The sequence below is a fragment of the Homo sapiens genome, chromosome 7 (genome assembly GCF_000001405.40).
Source record: "Homo sapiens chromosome 7, GRCh38.p14 Primary Assembly".
Lineage (NCBI taxonomy): Eukaryota > Metazoa > Chordata > Mammalia > Primates > Hominidae > Homo > Homo sapiens.
Genome location: NC_000007.14, coordinates 11,063,058 through 11,087,225, shown reverse-complemented (window position 1 = coordinate 11,087,225; position 24,168 = coordinate 11,063,058). Strand labels below are relative to the sequence as shown.

General features: G+C 36.3%; 1 protein-coding gene across 4 annotated transcripts in view; it reads right to left on the bottom strand.

Moving 5' to 3' along the window:
• PHF14 (PHD finger protein 14) overlaps nt 1-24,168 on the bottom strand; it is a 195,747-nt gene that overhangs the window by 82,393 nt on the left and 89,186 nt on the right. The window lies entirely within an intron of this gene.

The window sequence follows — 24,168 nt, the reverse complement described above, 5'->3', positions numbered from 1 at the left end:
AGCGAGACTCCATCTTAACAAAAAAAAAGAAAGAAGGGCAGTGCTTTCTATTACCATAAAATCACTCCAGGAAGCTAAATTAGGAGTTCTCAATTTGTTAACAAATTTCTTTCAGAATAGAATGAAAAGGGAACCCAGGGACTTTACAAACAAAGTATACCCTTATTTATTTTATGCTACCCAAAACTGGATTAAGATGTAGTGAGATCTAATTTAACTGACTTGATATTACCCCACGTAAAAATTAGCAAAAACTAATAGTACATACATATTTTTAGATTAAAGATAACGCAGAGATTTCAGTGAAATAGGTACTATCCATAGAAACCCAAGAGGACTAAGAGTAATAAAACTCAAGTAAGAATTTAATAGGTATCATACACATAGAACAATAAAAGCCATGAAAACAATGAATTAAATTACTATACAAATTATATTCAAATGATGACAAAAACTACCATTCCAATCTAACCAAAATTTCAATGTTTTGTATATAAAAATAACATAACTAAGCCAAGATCCCATTAATATCTGACAATTATAACTTTTAAAATATTAAATAAGTACCACTAATTAAAATCCACAGATTGTTTTTTCAATTTGGTTATGTACTGGGGGCATACTATGTGATAAGCATTGGCTTCGGACCTGGAATATTAAAATTAATTTAATTATTAAAAAATGGTGCTTATACACTAAGAATCATACACTGACCAAGACATATGGACTAAGTATAAGTGATTGAGAAGCCCTCATCCCAGAGAAAAAGACGAGGTTATTTCAGAGAGAAGGTATAACATAAAGTATAATAAAAGCAAGATGGCATAAAAGCAACAGGTTAGTTTTAGAAAGAAAAAATGACCTGCGATGATCTAAATTTAGGTCACCTGGAGCTGTGAACAGCTGGAAATGAAAACAAAAAGACAGACTGAGGCTGGGTTTGGAGGGCCTTATAAGCCATGCTATACAGTCTAGATTTACCTTGCAAGAAATGGGAAGCCTCTGGACAAATTTGAGTACAATAGTAACAAATTCATGTTTTAGTAAGACAACTGGATACAGACTAGAGGTACTCAAACTAGAGAAGGTGATGGTTATTGCAACGGTCCAGGAGAGAGTTGATGAAGGAGAATAAGCACTACATATTTTTATTCATTTAATCCTCACAGCAATTCTAGAGGTAAAAAAGATTATTATCCTCGGTTTACAGATGAGGAAACTAAAGCACAAAGATTATGTAACTAGACAAGTTACAACTAATAAATGCTGGGTGAAAATCTGAACCCAAATAACTAGGCTCCAGAATTCAAGCATTTAACCACAGTTTTTTTTTTAAACTATTATGTTTTGCTACTGATAAAAACTAGGGTTAAAAAAAACTGTACTTATCAGTAGCAAATCCCAGGACTTTGGGAGGCCAAGGTGGAAGGACTGAACCTAGGAGTTGAAGACTAGCCTGGACAATATAGTGAGACCCTGTCTCTTAAAAAAACACAAAAATTAGCCAGGCACACACCTGCAGTTCCCGCACTCCAGCCTGGGTAACACAGTGAGACACTGTCTCAAAAAAAAGGAAAAAAACAAAACCAAGAAAAGATAGTGTTTTAAGGAGGAAGGTTGGTCACCAATGTTAAATGTTGAAACGAGGCCAAATAGGATGAGTATTTAGAAAATTAAAAAACGATTAAATTTAGCAATTCATTGTTCACCACTGACATCTACAATAGAAACAATAATTTTTGCCTTTAGAATTAATCACCAAACATGTATCCAACACCATTAAGATCCAATACATTACACAAAAGGTTACATCAATGATAGCTTCAACATGTTTTAAAATCAGCAGTCCTGATATTCAAAAATTAACAAAATAGAGCCTCTGAAAACTAATAAATTGTTTTAAATCAACAGAAGAATATGACATTCTGGTAAAGCAAAACAGTATTTTTATATTAAGCTAATGTCGCAATGTGTAATTAAAAAATTATTTATAGATGACACAGTATCTCAGTAAATCTTTAAAACATGTCAAGCAAAACTGTACATAGATCATCTAAAGGGCAAAGACAGATAATTTGCATTTCCTGCCTAAATAATATATATCTGTTGTCTATTTCATAACATACCAAATTAGGTTTTAGTTTTTCAGACATAAATATCACAACACAAAAAAATGTAAATTTCAATTCAGCAAAACATACCATTAGCAATAAAGCAAAAACAAACAAAAAACCCAACAACCTTAAAGAAAATATTTGCAACTTATACAAAGATATGTAATAAACTCATTTTTAAAAAAGAAAAAAAAATCTCCAAAGATAAAGCGGCAAAGGATATGGAAAGGCAATTCACAGATATGAAAATCCAAATGGTTCATCAATATATGAGTGAATAAACATTGAAACTGATTGTTACAAAATACAATCAAAATGCCAATTTTCATCCATCAAATTGACAAAAATCTCTGCTATGACATCATTACACATTCATGTCCAGTGGGTAACAAGATAATATTATCCATTAACATGTAAAATATGCATATAATTTTGGCCTAGCACACTTACTTTGGGATAGAAATTAAACAGGAAAAAATAAATTTTCAATAGGGAAATATTACAGTAAATTATGATACATCCAAATTATATTTTGTAGCTACTTAAAAACTGGCTTAGTTCTATATTTACTGAGAAAAAGTCCATTATGCATTGTGAAGTTAAAAAAAAAAAAAAACACAAGAGTAAACCCTATAATAGCTAGAATGGGAATGAAAAGAGGAGGCCACCAGTAGGCCCTGAATATTTTGTTTGTACTTAGAGGAAAGAAGTATGGATGATGATATACTAATTCTGTGCCCTCAAAGGGACAGGTTTAGAGGATGTAAGAAGAAAATAACACTTGGTCCTTTAAAAATAAATCCAATAAAGTAATACTTATGTTCTAATTGCTATTATCTTCAAAATAAATGGCTATCTGTGTATGCTGAAACATTTGCTTTTCTAACATTTTTTCAGATTGTGTGTGTGTACATATTTTGAAGTTTAAGTTCTGTAATTATTTTTACTCTATTTTAAACAAATAGTAATGGTTGTAAATACTTTGAAGTTTAAGTTCTGTAATTATTTTTACTACATTTTAAACAGATAGTAATGCTTGTAAAAATAGTGTCTTTAACGTATCTTCTCATATCCTTATGTAATGTTATACTCCAATAAAAACAACCACAAATTGTGCTGTTTCAGATAAAGTTCTCCATAAACTTTGCTTGAATCTACCTATTGCCCCAGACGGGCATCCCATCTTCTCCTCTGGAATGCTTTCCTCCATTATTTATTTTCTCCTAGCTTAAATCTAGCCAATTTTTGTACAGCCCCACTGGTTTTACTGGCAACCGCTCATTTTTACAATTATCTTACTAAGTGATTCTATCCCAAATAAGAATTCTCATTAGGTAAAATTAGGGAAAGCAGGCCAGGTGTGGTGACTCACACCTGTACTCCTAGCACTTTGGGAGGCCAAGGGGGTGGGTCACGAGGTCAGGAGTTTGAGACCAGCCTGGCCAAGATGGTGAAACCCTGTCTCTACTAAAAATACAAAGAAGTTAGCCGGGCGTAGTGGCGGGCACCTGTAATCCCAGCTACTCGGGAGGCTGAGGCAGGAGAACTGCTTGAACCTGGGAGGCGGAGTTTCCAGTGAGCCGAGACTGCACTGCAGCCTGGGCGACAGAGCAAGGGCTCTGTATCAAAAAAAAAAAAAAAAAAAAATAGGGAAAGCAGAATATTTCTATGTGGCAACTTCCTGTGGCTTTCCAGTCACGATGATACGGGGTGGGAGTGCGGGGAGAAAGAGAGACGGTGTGCACACACCTAGAAGGTAAAGCACAATATAAGTGAGGAATAAGACTCCAAACTATAATTCCAGAATGTCAGAAATAAAGCTTGGAGTCTTAAGGAAAACAAACACTCAGACAAAGGATTTCTCAGCAAAGCAAATTTACTTCTGCACAGAGGGGTGCTTCTCTTTGGCCAGTCACCAAAAGGAGAGTTAAAGTTTTTATCCCTGACGCAAATCCTGCCCCTGTGCCCTTTCCCCATTGGCTGGGGTTGGACTGCACAATCTAAGCTAGACCCGATTCTCTGAACATTTGAACTTTTTCTTAGATAAGGTGTGCACATAAGGGAGAGAGGGGAGAGGGGGTAGAAGTCATCTGTGATAAGCTAGAGAGCTAGTTTTCTTCCCAAATAAGGAAAGGAATGTGAGCTGGTACTGATAAGCCATTGGTGCTGTGGCATGCCTGGGCATGTAGTAAAGGCAGAAAGAAAGAAAAAGAGAAGAAAAGGGAAGGGGAGGGGTACTGTGGATTAAAGAATAAAGGATTAATAGGCTATTTGAAGAGAAATCTTGTCATATCCCACACAGAAGAAAAAAATGAAACCAAAATTCTACTGAGTGTGAAGGCTGAGACTAAAGAGAGGCTCCTGACATAGCTGAGTGGAAGTACTATGTGTGATAAAGAAGGAAATGGAGAAATATCTATTTGGTCAGGATAAACTGAGTATGTTTAGTTATCCCCAACTCTTTATCTTCTAGTAATTGTGATATAAGGAAGACTGGGAAGTACAAGTCAACAATTCATTGTCATTAAATCAGAAAGGCACTGAATGCTGAATTTATAAATCAGAAAGCATAAATGATTGAATAACAAGGGAAAATTAAGCTTATCTGCAAATAATGCAAAATAGACATTGAAAATGTGAGGGAAGAAAATTTATAAATTTGTTATGCTAATTTAGGATAGACAAACAAAAAGAGAATTGACTTTGTTTCATGCCTTTCCATAATGGTTTTATTAAATTGATGTTTTTGTTTGCTTTGTTTTTTGAGACAGGGTCTTGCTCTGTTGCCCAGGCTGGAGTACAGTGACGTGATCATGGCTCACTGCAGCCTCAATATGTCCCAAGCTCAATCAATCCTCCCACCTCAGCCTCCTAAGTAGCTGGGACTATAGGCACGTGTCACTATGCCCAGCTGATTTTTTAAAAATTTTATTAGAGACAAGGTCTCGATACATTGCCTAGGCTACTCTTTAACTCTTGAGCTCAAGCAATCCTCCCACCTCGGCCTCCCAAAGTGCTGGGATTACAAGCGTGAGCCACTGCACTCAAATTGATTTTCTAAGGCAGTCAAGAGATATCTAATATCCAGAGTCTTCTGTTAGAATTCTACGTACACTATTAGCTTTTAAAAACCAGTTTTCTGGTATAAAAGTAAGATACTTTCACTATCAAAAACCTATGAAGATAGAGAAAAGCTTTAAAATGAAATAAAAATATTTATAAAAAATTAAGATCATAAATCTCTTTTTTTTTTTTTGAGACGGAGTCTCATTCTGTCGCCCAGGCTGGAGTGTGGTGGCGCGATCTCAGCTCACTGCAACCTCTGCCTCCGGGGCTCAAGTGATTCTCCTGCCTCAGCCTCCCAAGTAGCTGGGACTACAGGCACGTGCCACCACACCCCGCTAATTTTTTGTATTTTTACTAGAGACAGGGTTTCATCCTGTTAGCCGGGATGGTCTCGATCTCCTGACTTCATGATCCGCCCACCTCGGCCTCCCAAAGTGCTGGGATTACAGTTGTGGGTCACCACGATAAATCTTAAACAAATATGGGACGATTCTAACTTAAACTTAAATGTTTTCCCACACAGGAAATACTCTTTTTAAAAAATGGCTGAATAAGGGGTCAAATAAGAGGATGAAAATTTACGGTATATTATTAATTTATTTAACCACTCTTGTAATACCAGGCATTTGTGTTGGTTCCAAATATTTTTCACTATTATAATGAGCACCATAAAGAATATTCTTATATAAAAATTGAGCTAATTTCAGAATATTCCTCTGGAAAGAGTCCTCCAAGTGCTGTTACTTTACAAATAGTATTGTCATGCTTAATGCCTTTGATTCACATTGCTAAATTATTCCCCAGAAAAGTTTTACTACTTTGATTTTCTACTACCAGGGTAAAAGGGATTTTAACTTTCTCTGTGCTTATCTCGTTTTCCAAACTAGAATGACACATTTCTTGCAAGTACTTCTTTTATAGTTTCATACATATATTTATATACACACACTCACATATATATACATATAAATACACACACACATATATACATATATATTTAATTTCAATAGCTTTTGTGGTATAAATGGCTTTTGGTTACATAAATGAATTGTATAATGGTGAAGTCTTTGATTTTAGTCTATCACCTTAGGCCAAATCACCAGCAACACTCTAGGAATGACAACAGTGTCTTAGACATTATCTTCATTACTGTTGTAGCGCAATTAACACATGGATTAGTAATATTAACTAGCTGTTTCTGCTATATTCAAAATTCAAGACTTTGTGCTTGATGGCCCTCTAATGCATTTGCTCATTAGGGCATGCTTTAATCACATCACTAACAAAGTCCTTCAGTCATTTTTGGTTGAAACCATTAGGATATATATCCGCACTGCAGAATGTCCTGAATAGTACTTTTGATCTAGAAAAGAGTTGTTTGCAAAAAATTAAATAAGATAAAATGAAGACAAAGAATTGCTGACTAAATGTAAACCCTTCTATTTTGAGACATCAGGGAGAAAAACCAGCAGAGTTAATGTTTATTTAAAAACTGAATCTAATCTATACCTGCAGAGTTCCATAAAGAGCAATAAAATCTACTGAAAAAGTTATTTAGTTGAGTGAAAAGGAACTACTGATGCCATACTGACTGAGAAACTTCAACCCAATTTCCATTCCCTTAATTGAAATTGCAACTTTTATGAAAAATTCTATAATTCTGAGGGGGGAAAAAAACACCAAGTAGTGTTTAGTCAATCACTACCCAATACATTTTTTAAAGTGAGATGTTAACAAGTATGCACGTGTAATATAAGTTATCAAGTTTTTTTTAAATTTTATTGTTTTTTAAATAACGATGTGACAGGGCCTACACCTAGGTACTCCACATCAAAGCTAAAACTGAAAATCTAATGCTACAAAATTCTTACAAAGTCTATTTTGGCAAGTTACTTCCTCTATCCAACTACACTTGGTATGTTCTCACAGGTGCAAATAAACTTTGAACTCATTTTACGTGGAATAACTTTATGACATTCATTCGTAGTAAAAATGTATCCTCTTAAAGTTGACAAGAATCCATCTTTTAGACCACTGAGTCTATTCATATTTTGTTTCCTTGTATAATCAGCTCTAGCAATATGCAACAAAAGTGACAATCAAAAGTATGGCACTTTTTGAGTTACATGCAATTGGTAATTTCTATGTCATAAAGCTTTCCTGATTATTGACATGTCATTTATGATCAAAGGTTACTAAGAAGAAAAAACAGGATGACGACAATGAAGAAAAAAAAATTAACTGTAAAGAACAAACAAAATCATTTTTGATAATACAGCTAAATGATTTTGTATATCACAGTTAGCATACAATGTAAAAGGAGAAAAGCCATGTTCCTAACATATTTAATTAATTTATTTTGAAAACAGAGAGTCATATTATAGAATTTAGTGCTTGGTCACTCTTCCCCTACACTTCTATCCTAACTTTGGTTTCTTTTTAATGAAGAAAAAGAAAGTCAGCAAAACAAAATGCCAACATTAAATCATTTTGCAAAATTTTATGTCAAAAAAAGTAATAGGAAATACATACATCAAGGGAAATGTTACTATTATTCCAGAACATCTTTTCACTTGGTTCATGGTTCATTCTTCTACATAACTGTGCAGGTACTACGAATGGCTTTTTCCTCTAGGTTTAATGTGGCATTTGAAAGATTATGGCATTTTCAGGAAACCACAATGTGGTGATTTTAGCAGTTATCTGGCTGAAAGTAATGATGTGATTTAGAATAACCGCTCAGCTTATATGCCATGGCAAAAGCCAGCTACCGAGCCATCTCACAAAGACAACCTAATTCTGGATATTTTATTAATAATACATGAGGTCAGTCTAGAGACATAGAGCAGAATTAGAAGAAGCTCCTTTTGAAAGGGCACATACTATATATATAGGTATGTTTAGATTAAATCCTTTTAAGTTCATTGTAATAGTTAGAGCTCATTCAAAAACTGATAACCTTAATTCATCTTAGTTTAGGATAAATGTAATTGCTCCTTGAAACTTTCACAGAAGGAATTTAGGCACTTAAGAATTAAAATAAAAAGCAACCATATATCATACATTAGTAGCTACATAGATAATAAATATGAGAAATGCTAAAAATACTTATGTAGATAATATAATTCATATTAATCTACATATTTTAGTCCATTTAAAAGCTCAATTTACTTTGTTTTACAGAAAGGAAAAGACAAATTTTTCAGATTAAAACATTTTCTACTACAAAATGTTTCTTACAAACTTATCTCAATTAGTAATAAATGAAAAGTGACTGCGTTATAATTAATTCCCATGTTTTTCAAAGCTATAGTCTAAAAAATATATAAATAAGAACAAAACTTTAAAAATACGATGGGTCAATAATACAAATAAAAATAGCACTGTTGGGTGAGAGGCTTATTCTATAAATGACTCACATTCCTTACACCTGAATAATACTTTGCATTTCTGAATTTCTTTCTCTTCTTAACTTCTGAAGCATTACAAAATCATGAAATTTGAAAATTAAAAGGGATTTTTAAATCAATCTAATGCATTGCTCATTCTATGAATGAGAAAACTGGCTCGCAGAGAGGTTATTTGCATTTCTCATGGTTATACAGCCTCTCCCTGGCAGAGACTTAACCAAAATTTCAACCTCTTAATTTTAGCTCTATGCCCTCTCCCCACCATTTTTCCTAGTTAGTTATTGACCGAATTTTCAAGTGAGGTTCATATTCTGTTATTCACTAAGATAAATATTAAATGCACTATCACTGCCCAGAAAAGAGGCAGGATAATCATCCTGGTTTTCCTAGTTAACAAACCTCTCCATGTATGTCAACAATATTAAGGGAAAAATAAGGGTTAAGCTAATGACACACATGCCACCTAGAGAATAAGTGAATAAGGATAAATAAGGGGAAAAAATGAGGTTAGATAGCTTCTCTTCTCTTTCGTCAGAAAACAAAAATGTGAAAGCATTTCTATTCAAATACCACAGTGTGAACTAAAATACCCACATGCCACATATACTCAGGCATTTTAATACTTGAAAAAGATCAGTCTAAGGTTATGTAATTCTGAGGTTATATCTTCTTGAAATTTAAGCCTCAGTTTCATGCACGCTGAAGAGAGAAGCAACTTAATGGTGCAAAACTTCTCAACTGAGGAACAAACTGACATTTATTTTATGAAGATTCTGAGATAGATAATGTTCTTACTTGCTAAGCTTACTAAATTTCAAGTGACTGCAATTCTTTGTCTATTACCTTGTATTGCTCCACTCATTTAACTGAACCTGCCTCTCAAAATATAGTAATAGTAATAATGATAATAAAAACAACCTCTAAGCTCACAGGCAAACAAGAGACTATGTACGAGGTATATCTGTTCTCCAAATCATACTCACAAAATGCAAATACAGTGTGCTTGAATCTGTCTTTTTTTTTTTTTTTTTTTTTTAAGACAGAGTCTCGCTCTGTTGCCAGGCCGGAGTGCAGTGGCGCGATCTGGGCTCACTACAACCTTTGCCTCCTGGGTTCAAGTGATTCTCCTGCCTCAGCCTCCTGAGTAGCTGGGACTACAGGCGCGTGCCACCACACCCGGCTAATTTTTGTATTTGTAGTAGAGACGGGGTTTTACCACGTTGGCCAGGATGGTCTTCATCTCTTGACCTTGTGATCTGCCCACCTCAGCCTCCCAAAGTGCTGAGATTCAGGCATGAGCCCCACTGCGCCCGGCTGAATCTGGCTTTTTTTTTTTCTTTGCACTACTGGTTAATTCAAATGCTTACGTTTCTAACATTTTTACATAATTATGCCTATATATTCAGAGGTTTCTTCAATTTATAATTAGAGCAATAATATGTGTTGATCTTTAAGACAAGACAAAGGGACTACAAAAGCATTTAGTAAATAGATGACCATAATGAACATTACTAACGACCAAAAGAGTAAAAGTGTAGATGGTAACATACTATGAATTTCCTAAGAAGCAACTTTCATAAATATAGATAGTATTAAATGTAGTATATATGAATTAAACATGACACATGGCATTTTAATATGTGCACATACAACATAAGTACAACATATATATTAGTATTATATTAATATACCATTGAGATACTAACATATCTTAGAATTATCTGAAAAAGGTGTAATTTTGCCAAAAAAAAAAAAAACCATATTTGAAAGCTAGGCACAGTGACTCATGCCTGTAATCCCAGCACTTTGGGAGGCCAAGGCAGGCGGATTGCTTGAGAACAGGAGTTAGAGATGAGCCTGGACAACATTGCAAAACCCCATCTCTACCAAAAATACAAAAATTAGTCGGGTGTGGTGGTGTGCACCTGTAATCTCAGCTACTCAGGAGGCTGAGGCAGGAGAATTGCTTGAACCCCGGAGGTAGAGGTTGCAGTGAGCTGAGATCACGCCACTGCACTCCAGCCTGGGCTACACAGTGAGACTCTGCCTCAAAAAAAAAAAAAAAAAAGAAAAAGAAAAAAATATCCAAGATAAGCATCTCTAAAGAAGATTCAGTTCCCAATCTGTGCGATGGTCTTCATTCAAAATAAAATATAAAAAATCCAATGACATCTAAAGTTAAAAAGCAGACAGTACATTTTAAAAAAATAATATTAAATACAACTAAACAGCATACTTATAAGAATAGAGGTTATAGCACTGAAGCCTCAAAGAACAACAAATATATCATTGAAAACCATAAAATAAAGAAAATAAAACAGCAGGTATGATCACGGAAGGGATGCCACCATTTAGCCTTTAACAAATTACATTTATCAAAGAAAGTTTTACCAACCACACTGTTCAAATGTAAATTATGCTGAGACTATAGAGGTTAAAACCATGGACTCTGTAGCCAGACTGCCTAACTCTGAATCTCAGTTCCAACACTTTCTAGTTACGCAACTTTCTCGCTGTTGCCCAGGCTGGAGTGCAGCGGCACGATCTTGGCTCACTGCAAGCTCCACCTCCCGGGTTCACACCATTCTCCTGCCTCAGCCTCCCGAGTAGCTGGAACTACAGGCGCCCGCCACCATGCCCGGCTAATTTTTACTTTTTTATTTTTTTTGGTAGAGACGGGGTTTCATCGTATTAGCCAGGATGCTCTCGATCTCCTGACCTCGTGATCCACCCGCCTCAGCCTCCCAAAGTGCTGGGATTACAGGCATGAGTCACCGCGCCCAGCCTAGCTATGCAACTTTTAAGCAGTTACTTAAGCTCTATTCTTCAGTTTCCTCATCAATTCAAAGGAGATATTAATACTTATTTCATAGGGTATCTAAATGACTTAATACATGTATATAAGATACCTGATACATATTGATATAGTTTGGATATATGTCTCCTCCAAATCTCAGGTTGAAATGTGACTTCCAGTGTTGGAGGTGCGCCTGGTGGGAGGTGTTTGGGTCATGGGAACAGAACCCTCATGAATGGCATAATAATAAAAAAAAAAAAAAAAAAAAAAAAAACCTCTTTCCTTCCCATGGGAATGAGTGAGTTCTTGTTAATTCACACAAAAGCTAGTTAAGAATCTGATGCTTCCTCCTCTTTCTCTTGCTTGCTCTATGTGATATGCCAGCTCCCCCTTTGCCTTCTGCCATGATTGTAAGTTTACTGAGGCCTTGCCAGAAGCAGATGCTAGTGCCATGCTGCTTGTACAGCCGGCAGATCCGTGGGCCAAATAAACCTCTTTTCTTTATAAATTAGCAAGCCTTTGGTACTTCTTTATGGCAACATCAACTAACAGAGAAAATTGGTACCAAGAAGTGTAGTGTTGCTATAAAGATGTCTGAAAGGCCAGGTGCAGTGGCCCACACCTGTAATCCCAGCACTTTGGGAGGATGAGGCAGAAGGATTGCCTGAGCTCAGGAGTTTGAGACCAGCCTGGGCAACACGGTGAAACTCTGTCTCTTCTAAAAATACAAAAAATTAGCCAGGTGTGATGGCATGTGTCTGTAGTCCCAGCTACTCAGGAGGCTGAGGCAGGAAAATTGCTTGAACCTGGGAGATGGGGGTTGCAGTAAACGAAAATCATGCCACTGCACTCCAGCATGGGTGACAGAGCAAGACTCCATCTAAAAAAAAAAAAAAAAAAAGATATCTGAAAATATGGAAGCAGCTTGGGAACTGGGTAATGGGCAGAGGTTGGAAGAGTTTAGAGGGCTGAGAAGAAGACAGGAAGACAAGGGACAATTTGGAACTTCTTAGAGTATTGTTAAGTGGTTGTGGCCGAATGCTGATAGCAATTGACACCAAAGGCCAGACTGATGAGGCCTCAGATGGAAATGAAGAACTTATTGGGAACTGGAGTAAAGGTCACCCATATTATGCCCTAGCAAAGAACTTGGCTATATTTTGTGCATGTTCTTGGGATCTATGGAAGTTTGAACTTAAGAGTGATAACACAGGTTTCTGGTAGAAGAAATTTCTAAGCAGTGAAGCAGTTAAGATGTGGCCTGGCTGCTTATAACAGCCTATGAATCGATACAGGAGCAAGGAAATGACTTAAAGTTGGAACTAACGGGGCCAGGCACGGTGGCTCATGCCTGTAATCCCAGCACTTTGGGAGGCTGAAGCAGGCGGATCACGAGGTCAGGAGATCGAGACCATCCTGGCTAACACGGCGAAACCCTGCCTCTACTAAAAATACAAAAAATTAGCTGGGCGTGGTGGCAGGCGCCTGTAGTCCCAGCTACTCAGGAGGCTGAGGCAGGAGAATGGTATGAACCCGGGAGGCAGAACTTGCAGTGAGCTGAGATCGTGCCACTGCACTCCAGCCTGGGCAACAGAGCAAGACTCTGTCTCAAAAAAAAAAAAGAAAAAAAGAAAAAAAAGGAAAGGCATTTTCAGGAGAGGAATTCAAGGTGGTTGTGGAGCAACCATTTGCTAAAGTGATTAGCATGACTAAAAAAGAGACAAATGATAATAGCCAAGACATGGGGGAAAGGCATTGAACGCATTTTGGAGATCTTCCAGGCAGTGCAGCCCATCACAGGCCCAGAGGTCTAAGAGAAAATAACATTTTCAGAGGCCATGCCTGGGGCTCTGCTTCCTTGCTCAGCCTCAGGACACTGCTCCCAGAATCCTGGCTGCTCCAGCTCCAGCTGATGCACAGAGCCCCAGGTACAGCTCACATCACCAGGTACAGCTAGCTCGGGCCACCAATCTGGCCTTGGTGTTTTCCACATGCTGTTAAGCCTCCAGGTGCACAGAATGCGAGAGTGAAAAAATCTTGGCAGCCTCCACCTAGGTTTCAGAGGAACCCAGGTGTCCAGGCAGAAAAGCCTGTCACAGAGACAGAGCCTTCACAGAAAGCCTCTACTAGTGCAGTGCGGAAGGGAAATGTGGAGTTGGAACCCTCACACAGAATCCCTACCAGGGAACTACCTGGTGGAGCTGTGGGAAGGGCGCTGTTGCCTTCCAGACCTTAGAATGGTAGAGCCACCAGCAGCTTGCACCCTGAGCCTGGAAAAGCCACAGGCATTTAACTCCAACCCATGAGAGCAGCCAAGGGGGCTGAATCCTGGAAAGCCACAGCAGCAGAGCTGCCCAAAGCATTTGGAGCCCACCCATTGTACTAGTGTGCCCAGGATGCAGGATATGGCATCGAAGGACATTGTTTTGAAGCTTTTAAGGTTTAATGTATGCCTGGCTGGGTTTTAGAAATATGTGGGGGCCTACTGCCTGTTTCTTTTGGTTAATTTCTCATTTTTGACATGGGAATGTTTACCCAATGTCTGTACCACCATTGTATCTTGGAAGTAAATAACTTGTTTTTGATTTTACAGGCTCATAGATGGAAGGAACTTGCCTTGAGTCCCCAGTAAGACACTGGATTTTGGACTTTTGAATCAACGATGGAGTGAGTAAAGACTTTGGAGGACTGTTAATAAAGGACAATTGTATTTTGCAATGTGGAGAAGATAAAACTGGGGAGGGGGGGCAAGGAGTGAAAGTATATAGTTTGGATGTTTCTCCCATTCAAATAACATGCTGAAATGTGATCTCCAATATTGGAGGTGGGCCTGGTGGGAGGTGTTTGGACCACAGGGGCAGATCCCTCATGAATGCTTGGCACTAAACCCATGGGAATAAGCAAATTCTTGCTGTTAGTTCACATGAAAGATGGTTGTTTAAAGGAGCCTGACACCTCCTCTTTTCTCTGTTGTTCACTCTATGTGATATACTGGCTCACCCTTTGCCTTCCACCATGATTGTAAGTTTCCTGAGACCTCACCAGAAGCAGATGTCAGTGCCATGCTGCTTGAACAGCCTGCAGAACTATGAGCCAAATAAACTTACTTTCTTTATAAATTAGCTAGCCTCAGGTATTTATAGCAATGTAAACAGACTGACAAACACAATAAGCACTATATATGTTATATCAGAGTTGCTGTTATTTGCATATATATAGCCTTTACCATTTTTTGTCCACTGTGCCAAGCCCTTTACTTGTACGGTATTACTTAATCATCCAGACAATCTATGGAGTAGGTACTATTGTTTATTGCTATTTTATAGATAATGAAGGTAAAACACAGGCAAGATAAAAGCAGAGTTCACAAATAACAAAAGAAGGTTTAAAACCTTGATATAGTTTGGATACGTGTCCCACTCAAATCTCATGTTGAATTATAGTCCCCAATGTTGGAAATGGGACCTGATGGGAGGTGACTGGATCACGGGGGTAGATTTCTCATGAATGGTTTATACCATCCTCTTGGTGCTGTTCTCATGATGGTGAGTTCTTAGAAGATCTGGCTGTTTAAAAGTATACAGCATCTCTCACATCTCTCTCTTTGCCCCTGGCCCCTGCCACATAAGATGCCTTTACCCCCTTTGCTTTCTGCCATGATTAGAAGTTTCCTGAGGCCTCCCCAGAAGCAGAAACCGCTATGCTTCCCTTACAGCCTGCAGAGCCGTAAGTCAATTAAATATCTTTTCTTAGTAAATTACCAGTCTTGGGTATTTCTTTACAGCTATGCAAGAATGGACTAATACAACTCAGCAGAATGGTTATAAATCCTCATACTTAATCATTCATTTTACAGTACTGCCTCTCAAAATAATAGACACTTTGAAATGTAATAGAATCTAGGCTCTTAATATAAATTTAGCAGGCTTACTTTTTTAATATCCAAAATTAAAAGTACTGAGTTGAAGAATGAATAAAATGGTGTAATTTTTTCATATGAGAGTCACTTTAACACTTCTTTAATTAGAAGTTCTCTTATTGCATTAAATTAGTTGTGGAAACAAAATCTAATTTATACATAATCAGAAACATGTCTCAGGGCTATGAGAAACCAGTGACAAAAGAACATTTGCAGTGGTTGCCTGACGCTGGAAATGGGGGCTATGAATGACTATAAACAGGCATAGTAATTTTTGAGGTGATGGAAATACTCTAAAAACTGGACTGTAATGATCGTTGAACAATGACAAATGTACTAAAAATCATTAAGCTCTATACTTATAATGGGTAAAATTTAATGGGACGAAAATTAGATACCACTAGAGTTGTTTTTTAAAAAGGAAATATCTGCTATTTATCAAAGGAAGTGGGTGTTTTAAACTGACTTATTTTCTACTCCTCTAGGTAAATGAGAGAAAATGCAACTGGAAAACTGGCTTCCATTCTAAGATATTTAAGCAAGAAAAATAATCATAGTCTACATAATCACAGAATAGCTTGGAAGAAGATGCTACTGAGTATGTTACACAGGAGCTTGTGATCAAATGTAAATAAACAGGTAACATGGACTTGGGAACATGGAATATATAGTCTTTGAATATCAGAGCTAGTGTACTAGGCTTCAGAGAGGTTACAGCCTAAGGTATTCTCCTAAAATAAGAAAAGTGAGATTGAAAGAGATTAAGTGACTTGCTTAAAATTACAAAGCTGGCAAGTGACAAGCTTAAACTAGTTGAGATCTCCTAACTCTCAGTGCAGTAAACAACTATCACAAAAATAAAGATTATCAGTTAATCAAAAACCACTATTTGTCACCTATTATTTTAGCTTCAAGAAGCATACACGATTTTTAAGTTTGTACTCAGTAATTTTAAAAGTTTTTATATTTTCAAAAATAAAACAAATCAGGAACTATGTAAAGAAATGTCCCTGCCCAAAAACAAATTATAAACTATTTTAATTGTATAGAGTTGCAAAAATATACAGATATGGCAGTGTATCAGTAAATTAACAAGCATTTATTCTGAATTAACAGCCTGAGCCATATTGCATTAGACTATCACGGTCATTAGAAATAAATGGAAGGTCCAGATGCTATACTCACCTCGTGGACAAAGTAAATTAATTGACAGACAATAATGACACAACTTACAAGCAAAATGGATCACAGCATGACATGGGATTTTATGAGGGTTCCAAGGACAATCAATGTAAGACGATCAATATGGGGCCACATAAGTTAGGAAGAATATATGAAAGAAGTAAATACTGATGTAGGCTTAGAAGGAAGAAGAAAATATGCCCAAATACATTACAGAAAGCAGGAAAGTCCTATGCAAATAGTTACAGTGAACACTGAAAAGGCCAGCATGACTAAAGAAAATACCATGGTGCTGACATATAAGAAAGAAGCAACTGGCAAATGAGATGAAATCAATACATTCCTTGAAAAACACAGCTTAGCTGGGTACAGCGGCTCATGCCTGTAATCCCACCACTTTGGGAGGCTGAGGATAGAGGATTGTTTGAGTTCACAAGTTCTACACCAGCCTGGGCAAAACAGTCAGACCCCATTTCTACAAACGATTAAAAAATCAGCTGGGCATGGTGGCGCGCACTTGTAGTCACAGCTACTAAGGAGGCTGAGGTGGGAAGATCACCTGAGCCTAAGAGTTCAGGCTGCAGTGAGCTGTGATCATGAGACCTTGTCTCAAACAAAAAGAGAAACACAGCTTACCAAAAATGACACAAGATGAAAGGAAGTATTTATTCTAAAAACTGAATTTATTATCAAAAACATTTCCACAATGAAAACTCTAGGTTCAGATGGTATCACCGGAGAATTCTATCAAAATTTAATGAACAAACAGTATCTTAAACAAATGCTTTAAAAACAAAGAATAAGGGAACACTTTTTCCAACTCCATTCAGAAGGCCAGTATTATCTAATAAAATGTGATACTTCTACCAGAAAAAAATAAATAAATAAATAATAGAACAGCTGGGCATGGTGGTGTGGTGGTAATACCAAGCCACGGTGGTAATTCCAGCTACTCAGGAGGATCACTTAAGCCCAGGAGTTTGAGACCAAGCCTGGGCAACAACCAACCAACCAAAAAAAAAGGAAAGACAAGAAAGAAGGAAGGAAGGAAGGAAGGGAAAGGGAGGGGACGGAAAGGGAGGGGAGAGGAGAGGAGGGGAGGGGAAGGAAAGAAGGGAGGGAGGGAGGGAGGGAGGGAATACGTTCACAGAGAATGTATAACCCTTATCAAAATATTAGCAAATAAAATTAAAAAAAATACATAAAAGAGGCAATACATCAGACCAGAAGGGTTTATCCCAGATTTGCAAGGTTGATTTTGAAGCCTCCCTGGGACAGAGGGGATGGAAGAGCCCAGCAAACACTGTTCAAATACCTGTGCCTTATCGTCCTCCTTATTAAGGAGACTTGAAGGCACTTCTCCATGCGGACTCAGTACTTTTCTACCTCCTACCCCTTCCCCATCTCCCTTCCAGAAGCCCCTGGGTCCATAAAACAGCAGGAACCTTTGTTTGGGAATCCTTTAGCAGTAAGACTAAATTTCTCCTCTAAGTACAAGGGTATGTGTGGTGTGGGGTGCTGGTTGGGGTTGGGGGTGTATCTGCACTTATCTTCCTGACTCTTGCCCACTGCTGTTCAGTGGGAAACAATGTAATACTCAGGAGCCAGCAACCTTTCCTGACTGGCTTCTTCCTGATGCTACCAGAATAAGAAAATAAAGTTTTGTTACTTTGAACTTTGCTTGTTTTCCTAACTGACCACCTGGCAGCTCTAAACTCTAACAGAAAACAGAGAACTTTAAAGATAACCTATACAATAGCATCAAAAACATTACATTCTTAAAAATGCATGTAATAAAAGACATGCAAGATTCCTAAAGTCGAAACTACATCAGTGAGAAAAAATAAAGACTATCTGAGTATCTGAATAAATGGAGAGATATACCATGATCATAAATTGAAAGATGCAACATGGTTAAAATGTTAATGTCCCCCTGCCCCAGCCCCTTTCCCTGCCACTAAATCCCATGTATTCAACACAAAGCCTATTATAATCCCTGTAGACTTTTGTTCTTCAGGTTATTTTTAAAAATCAATTGTGGTAAAATATACATAGCATTGACCATCTTAACCATTTTTAAGTGTACAGCTCTGTGGCATTCACATTCACACTGTTGTGCAACCATCCCCACCATCCATCTCCAGAACTTTTTCATCTTTCCCAGCTGAAACTCTGTACCCCTTAAACACTAACTGCCCATTCCTCCTTCCCCCTGGAAACCACCATTTTTACTTTTGTCTCTATAAATCTGACTACTCTAGGAATCTCATGTAAGTGGAATCATACATTATTTGTACCCTTCTGTAACTGGTTTATTTTACTTAGCATAACGTTCTCAAGGTTCATCTATGTTGCAGTATCAGATTTTTTTTTTTTTTTTTTTTTTTTGAGACGGAGTCTCGCTCTGTCACCCAGGCTGGAGTGCAGTGGTGCGATCTTGGCTCACTGCAAGCCCTGCCTCCGGGTTCATGCCATTCTCCTGCCTCAGCCTCCCAAGTAGCTGGGACTACTGGTGCCCACCACCATGCCAGACTAATTTTTTGTATTTTTTAGTAGAGACGGGGTTTCACTGTGTTAGCCAGGATGGTCTCGATCTCCTGACCTCGTGATTCACCTGCCTTGGCCTTCCGAAGTGCTGGGATTACAGGCGTGAGCCACCGCACCCGGCCCAGAATTTCATTCCTTTTTAAGGCTGGATAATATTCTACTGTATGTATGCTATGGTTTGGATACCTGTCACCTACAAACCTAATGTTGAAATGTGATCCCACTTTAGGGGGGTCCTAATGGGAGGTGTTTACGTCATGAAGATGAATCCTTCATGAAGAGATTATTGACCTCCTCAGGGGTGTGTTCTAACTCTATTAGTTCCTTTGATAGTTGGATAGTAAAAAGAGCCTGGCATCTCCCCCTCTCTTGATTCCTCTCTTATCATGTGATCCCTGATCATACCAGTTCTCCTTTACCTTTCACCATGAGTGAAAGCACCTTGAGGTCCTCACCAGATGCAGATGCCCAATCTTGAGCTTCCCAACAATGAGAATTGTGAGCCAAATAAACATTTCCTTCTTTATCAATTATCCACCCTCAGGTATTTCTTCTTAGCAACATAAAATGGACTAAGAGAATATACATATATACACTACATTTTGTTTATCCTTTAATCCATCAGTGGAACTTGGGTTGCTTCCACCTTTTGGCTATTGTGAATAATGTTGCTATGAAAACAGGTGTTCAATTATCTGTTTGAGTTTCTGCTTTGGGTGTACAGCTAGAAGCAGTATTAACAGATCAAATGGTAATTCTGTCTTTAATTTTTTGAGGAATTAAAATACTGTTTTCCCTAGTAGCTGCACAATTTTATATTCCCAAGGGCAATTGTACAAGAACTCCAGTTTCTCCACATCCTTGCCAACACCTGTTATTTTCTGTTTATTTATTTATTTTAATGATAACTAGCCCAATGGGTGTGAGGTGGTATCTCACTGTGGTTTCGATTTACTCTTCCTGAATGATTCGTGATGTTGAGCATCTTTTCATATGCTTGTTGGCTACTGTATATCTTCTTTGGAGAAATATTTTCAAGTCCTATGCCCATTTTTAATGGGGTTGTTTCTTATTGCTGAGTTGTCCAAGTTCTTTATATATTCTCAATCCCTTAACAGATACATGACTTGCAAATATTCCCCCCTATCCTATGGGTTAACCTTTTTACCATCTGGTGATGGTGTCCTTTCACACACAAAAGTTTTTAACTTTGAATTTAGTCCAACTTAGCTAATTTTTTGTTGCTGTTATTACCTATGCTTTTGGTGTTATGTCCAGGCTTTCCTTTTTAAAATGAAAATGGACAAGCTGTTTCTAATATTTACATGAAAATGCAAAGGATCCAGAAAAACGAAACAGCTTACTCCACAGCCTGAGTAATCAAGAGTTGGTCTTGGCACAGGAATAAATACATAACTCAATGGAATATAATAGAAAGTCTAGAAATAAGCCCACATTGAAAAAGCCAACTGGCATTTAAAAGTGGCACCAAAGTAATTTAATGTGGAAAGGCAAGTATTTTCAACAAATGATACTGGGAATCCACATGGGGCAGATAATAAACAAACCTTCCTTAACTCTACCTGAAACCATATACAAAAATTAATTTCAGATAGCTCATATAAAATATAAAAGCCAAAACTACAAAGCTTCTAGAAGAAAACAAAGAAGAAAGTTTTTGTCACCTGGACCTAAGCAAAGAATTATTAGATAGGAAATAACAATAACCATAAAACAAAACATTGCCTCCATACTAGTTAGAACAGAAAAGTTAATTAAAAATAAAAAATCAAGTCTCAGCTACTCGGGAGGCTGAGGTGAGAGGATTGCTTGAGCCCGGGAGGCAGAGGCTGTACTGCGTCAAGAAAGTGCCACTGCACTCTAGCCTGAGTGACAACGAAAACAAACAACAAAAAAATTATAATCAGAATAACGAGAGACTAATATTTGAAATTAAAATGTAATACATATGAATTCTTGCTGGTTTTCCTAATAATTTATGACACAAACAAATTTAGTTGGGGAGGATGCACTGACAAGCCAGATTTTTAAATGTAAAATAAATAAAAGTGCGAACAACAATGTTTACAGACCAAATTGACACCCTACCCTTGTAATCAAAATGGTTCAATACCTATGTAATTTGCCATATACTCAAATAAAGGGGAGAATCTGGCAAGCATTTGATAGTGTAGAATTAGCTATAAAAGTGAAATAGCTTAATAGATCATTTCCTACCCTCAATGCTTCTGAAAAATGGCCACAATACAAAATAAAATTAAAGATGCTATTTAAGAGGGCTCATGGATTCCAGGGTTCTTAGCTTTAGGAAACCTTTCTTCTCTCTCTCCTATCTCTGATTAAGTAATAAATGTGCCACATTGAGTCTATAAAGTTAAGATAAAATTTGAGGTTTAGAAGTTTGGTGTTATTCCTAATTTGATAGTTCGATAAAGACTGAAAGACAGGCCCACTTCCTTTTCATATAGGCTCAAGGAGAGGAATCACTTCATCTCTACTTTTCATAGATTAATCATTTATTCTCAAATCTATTTCCTTACTTAAAATACAGCAGAGGAAAAACTATCCACTACATTTTAGTGACAAAAAATCAATTGTCCTTTATCAAGCCCTTTAAATACCTTCATCAAACATTATATTTTGTGACTCAATTTGCTCTAGAATTAAATTATAATAGTGACAGTTTTTATTAATTCAGCAAAAGAATACTCAGTCATTACTTATGTAGAGTTCATTTACCAAGCATTTTCTGATCATTAAATGTGCCATGAACTGTCGAAACAAAAATAAATAAGGTATCACTAAGTAGTTCCATAACTACTTCCAACAAAGAATGACCTATCACAGACAAAGCCTTTAAGACTTCCCAATTCCATGAAATAGTTTCAACTTGACCTTTAGCATTTAGATTGCATTAAATAGCATAAAGAAATATATATTTAGTTGAGAACTTCTCAGATAATTTCTAATTAAATTTTAAAAGTAGATGGCAAAAAACCAGCACTTAAAAAAATAAAATTGCCTGAGATGCTGTAAACCTTCAATCTAATCATTTTAGAAAACATGTAATGACAAATTTCCTTTTGTCTCCTAGATTCTAGACAAAATTATATACAACAGGACATGTACATTTTCTGACATAACAAGTATTTATTATAACTGGAAACATATTTACCAATTGTGACCTTTATTTCAATGCACACATACATGTATTCTTTGTGTTACTAAATAATACTACTGTTCTAACATTTTATATGGAAAGAACCTTACTATCACTCAGCAATTATCCATAAGGTACCTAATGAAGCAAGTATGATTGTGATCATGTACAACGGGGGGAAAACCAAGACACAGAAATGCTAAATTACTTGCCCAAGTCCCAAGAAAAACAGGCAAAGCAGAAAATAACAGTTGAAACTTACTAATTACAATGTACTGACAAATTGCATGCAATTGTTCAATGATATAAAAAATTATACATATAAATTCACAAGTAAACACATACAAATAACTAAAAAAGGACAATTAAGAAGGAATTTTCTATATAGCCTGAATTACATAGAGAAGTGTGGTTTAAAAAATCAAAACTGCTGAAGAGCAGATTCTAGTGTGATATAAACATCAGTTTAAAAGAACTTGAGAAAGTAAACACAGTATATTAAATAAAAGACTAATTGTGACCCATGAAGTTTAATTTTAAAAGAGAACCTAACAGACATACACGTATGTCTGAGTAAGCGCTGAAATATATCTGTAGAGAAAATAAATCCTTATTTAAAATATCTTATTTGAAAGTTAAAAAAATAGCATGTAAAGATAGTATTTAAGATGCAATGTAATAAAAAAGTGTAGACTTTTGGGGGGTGATTTTCAAACAATAACAGTGCCAATTCCAAAATATGAGATGCCAGGGAAAATGGCAGATATTAGCTTATGAGATTACTTTTATTAAACATATGAAATTTTATATAAAAATTCTTTAACCCAAGAAGAATAGTGCATAAACAATGTATTTTTTTTAAAGATCACATTATAACCAAAAATATTTTATGGCATTGCTTTATATCCAGCTTATCTTGTCCTAAGAAATATTAAAATATAGTACCAATAAAACATTTAATTTCCTCTACATTACCTCTTTAAAACTTTGCAGACAATTTACGATATTATCTTCTTAATAAGGCAAAACGAAGGAAGGGGACTTTGCATATCCATTATTTTAGAGTAATAAAAATATCTTTACCTTCCAGAAGACTTTCACAAAATTCCAGACATTGGCATATTGTAATAATGCAATTAGAAATAAAAATTTCATAACAGAAACTAAAGAAATAAATAACATAGAGTAATACTATTCAAAAATCTTATCAAAATTAGAAGATGGCACTTTTTTTATTAAACGACTAAAATATGATGGGTTGGAAATCTATCATAAACTGATTTTTAAAATAAAAATTGTATTTCTCAGGTTCCTAATTTCCAATATATGACAAAAGCAAAACAAAAAACCTAATAAAAACCTCTAAGTCCTACAGCAAAAAGGCCTCAATCAATCTCATATTAAAAAAAAAAAATTAGTAAGACACAGTAGATACTCATACAGGTTCAAATAATTAATAAAAGGATCACCAGCTCTATAAGTTTTTAACTACTGTTTCAAAATCATAGTCCTCAACTCCACCCTCAACCCCAAGGGAATTTTCCTGAATTAAATTTTTGTTCATTATATAAGATTGTTATTTTTTTTCTTTATTTTTATTGTTTCATTTACTCCATTATGTTACGCTTATGCTTGGGATTTCATTTTCGACATATTGCAAAATTTATACTGTGGTCAGAATTATTCAGGTGTATCTCCTGAACTTGGAACTACTTACTACTTTACCCTAAATTTTAATAAACTTAACCTTCAGGATAGCTCCCAACACACTCTACATGAACTACCTCAAAAAAATTAGCCAATTATTATAAACTTTCTTAACTTTGTTGAAGGACTTTGTCTTTTTCTACTGTAATTTTTACTTTATCTTTCTCATTGATAGCATAAAAAACTCATAAAATTTAAGACTTCATGCCTTTCTTTGAGAAATTAAGACATATTTTAATGACCAA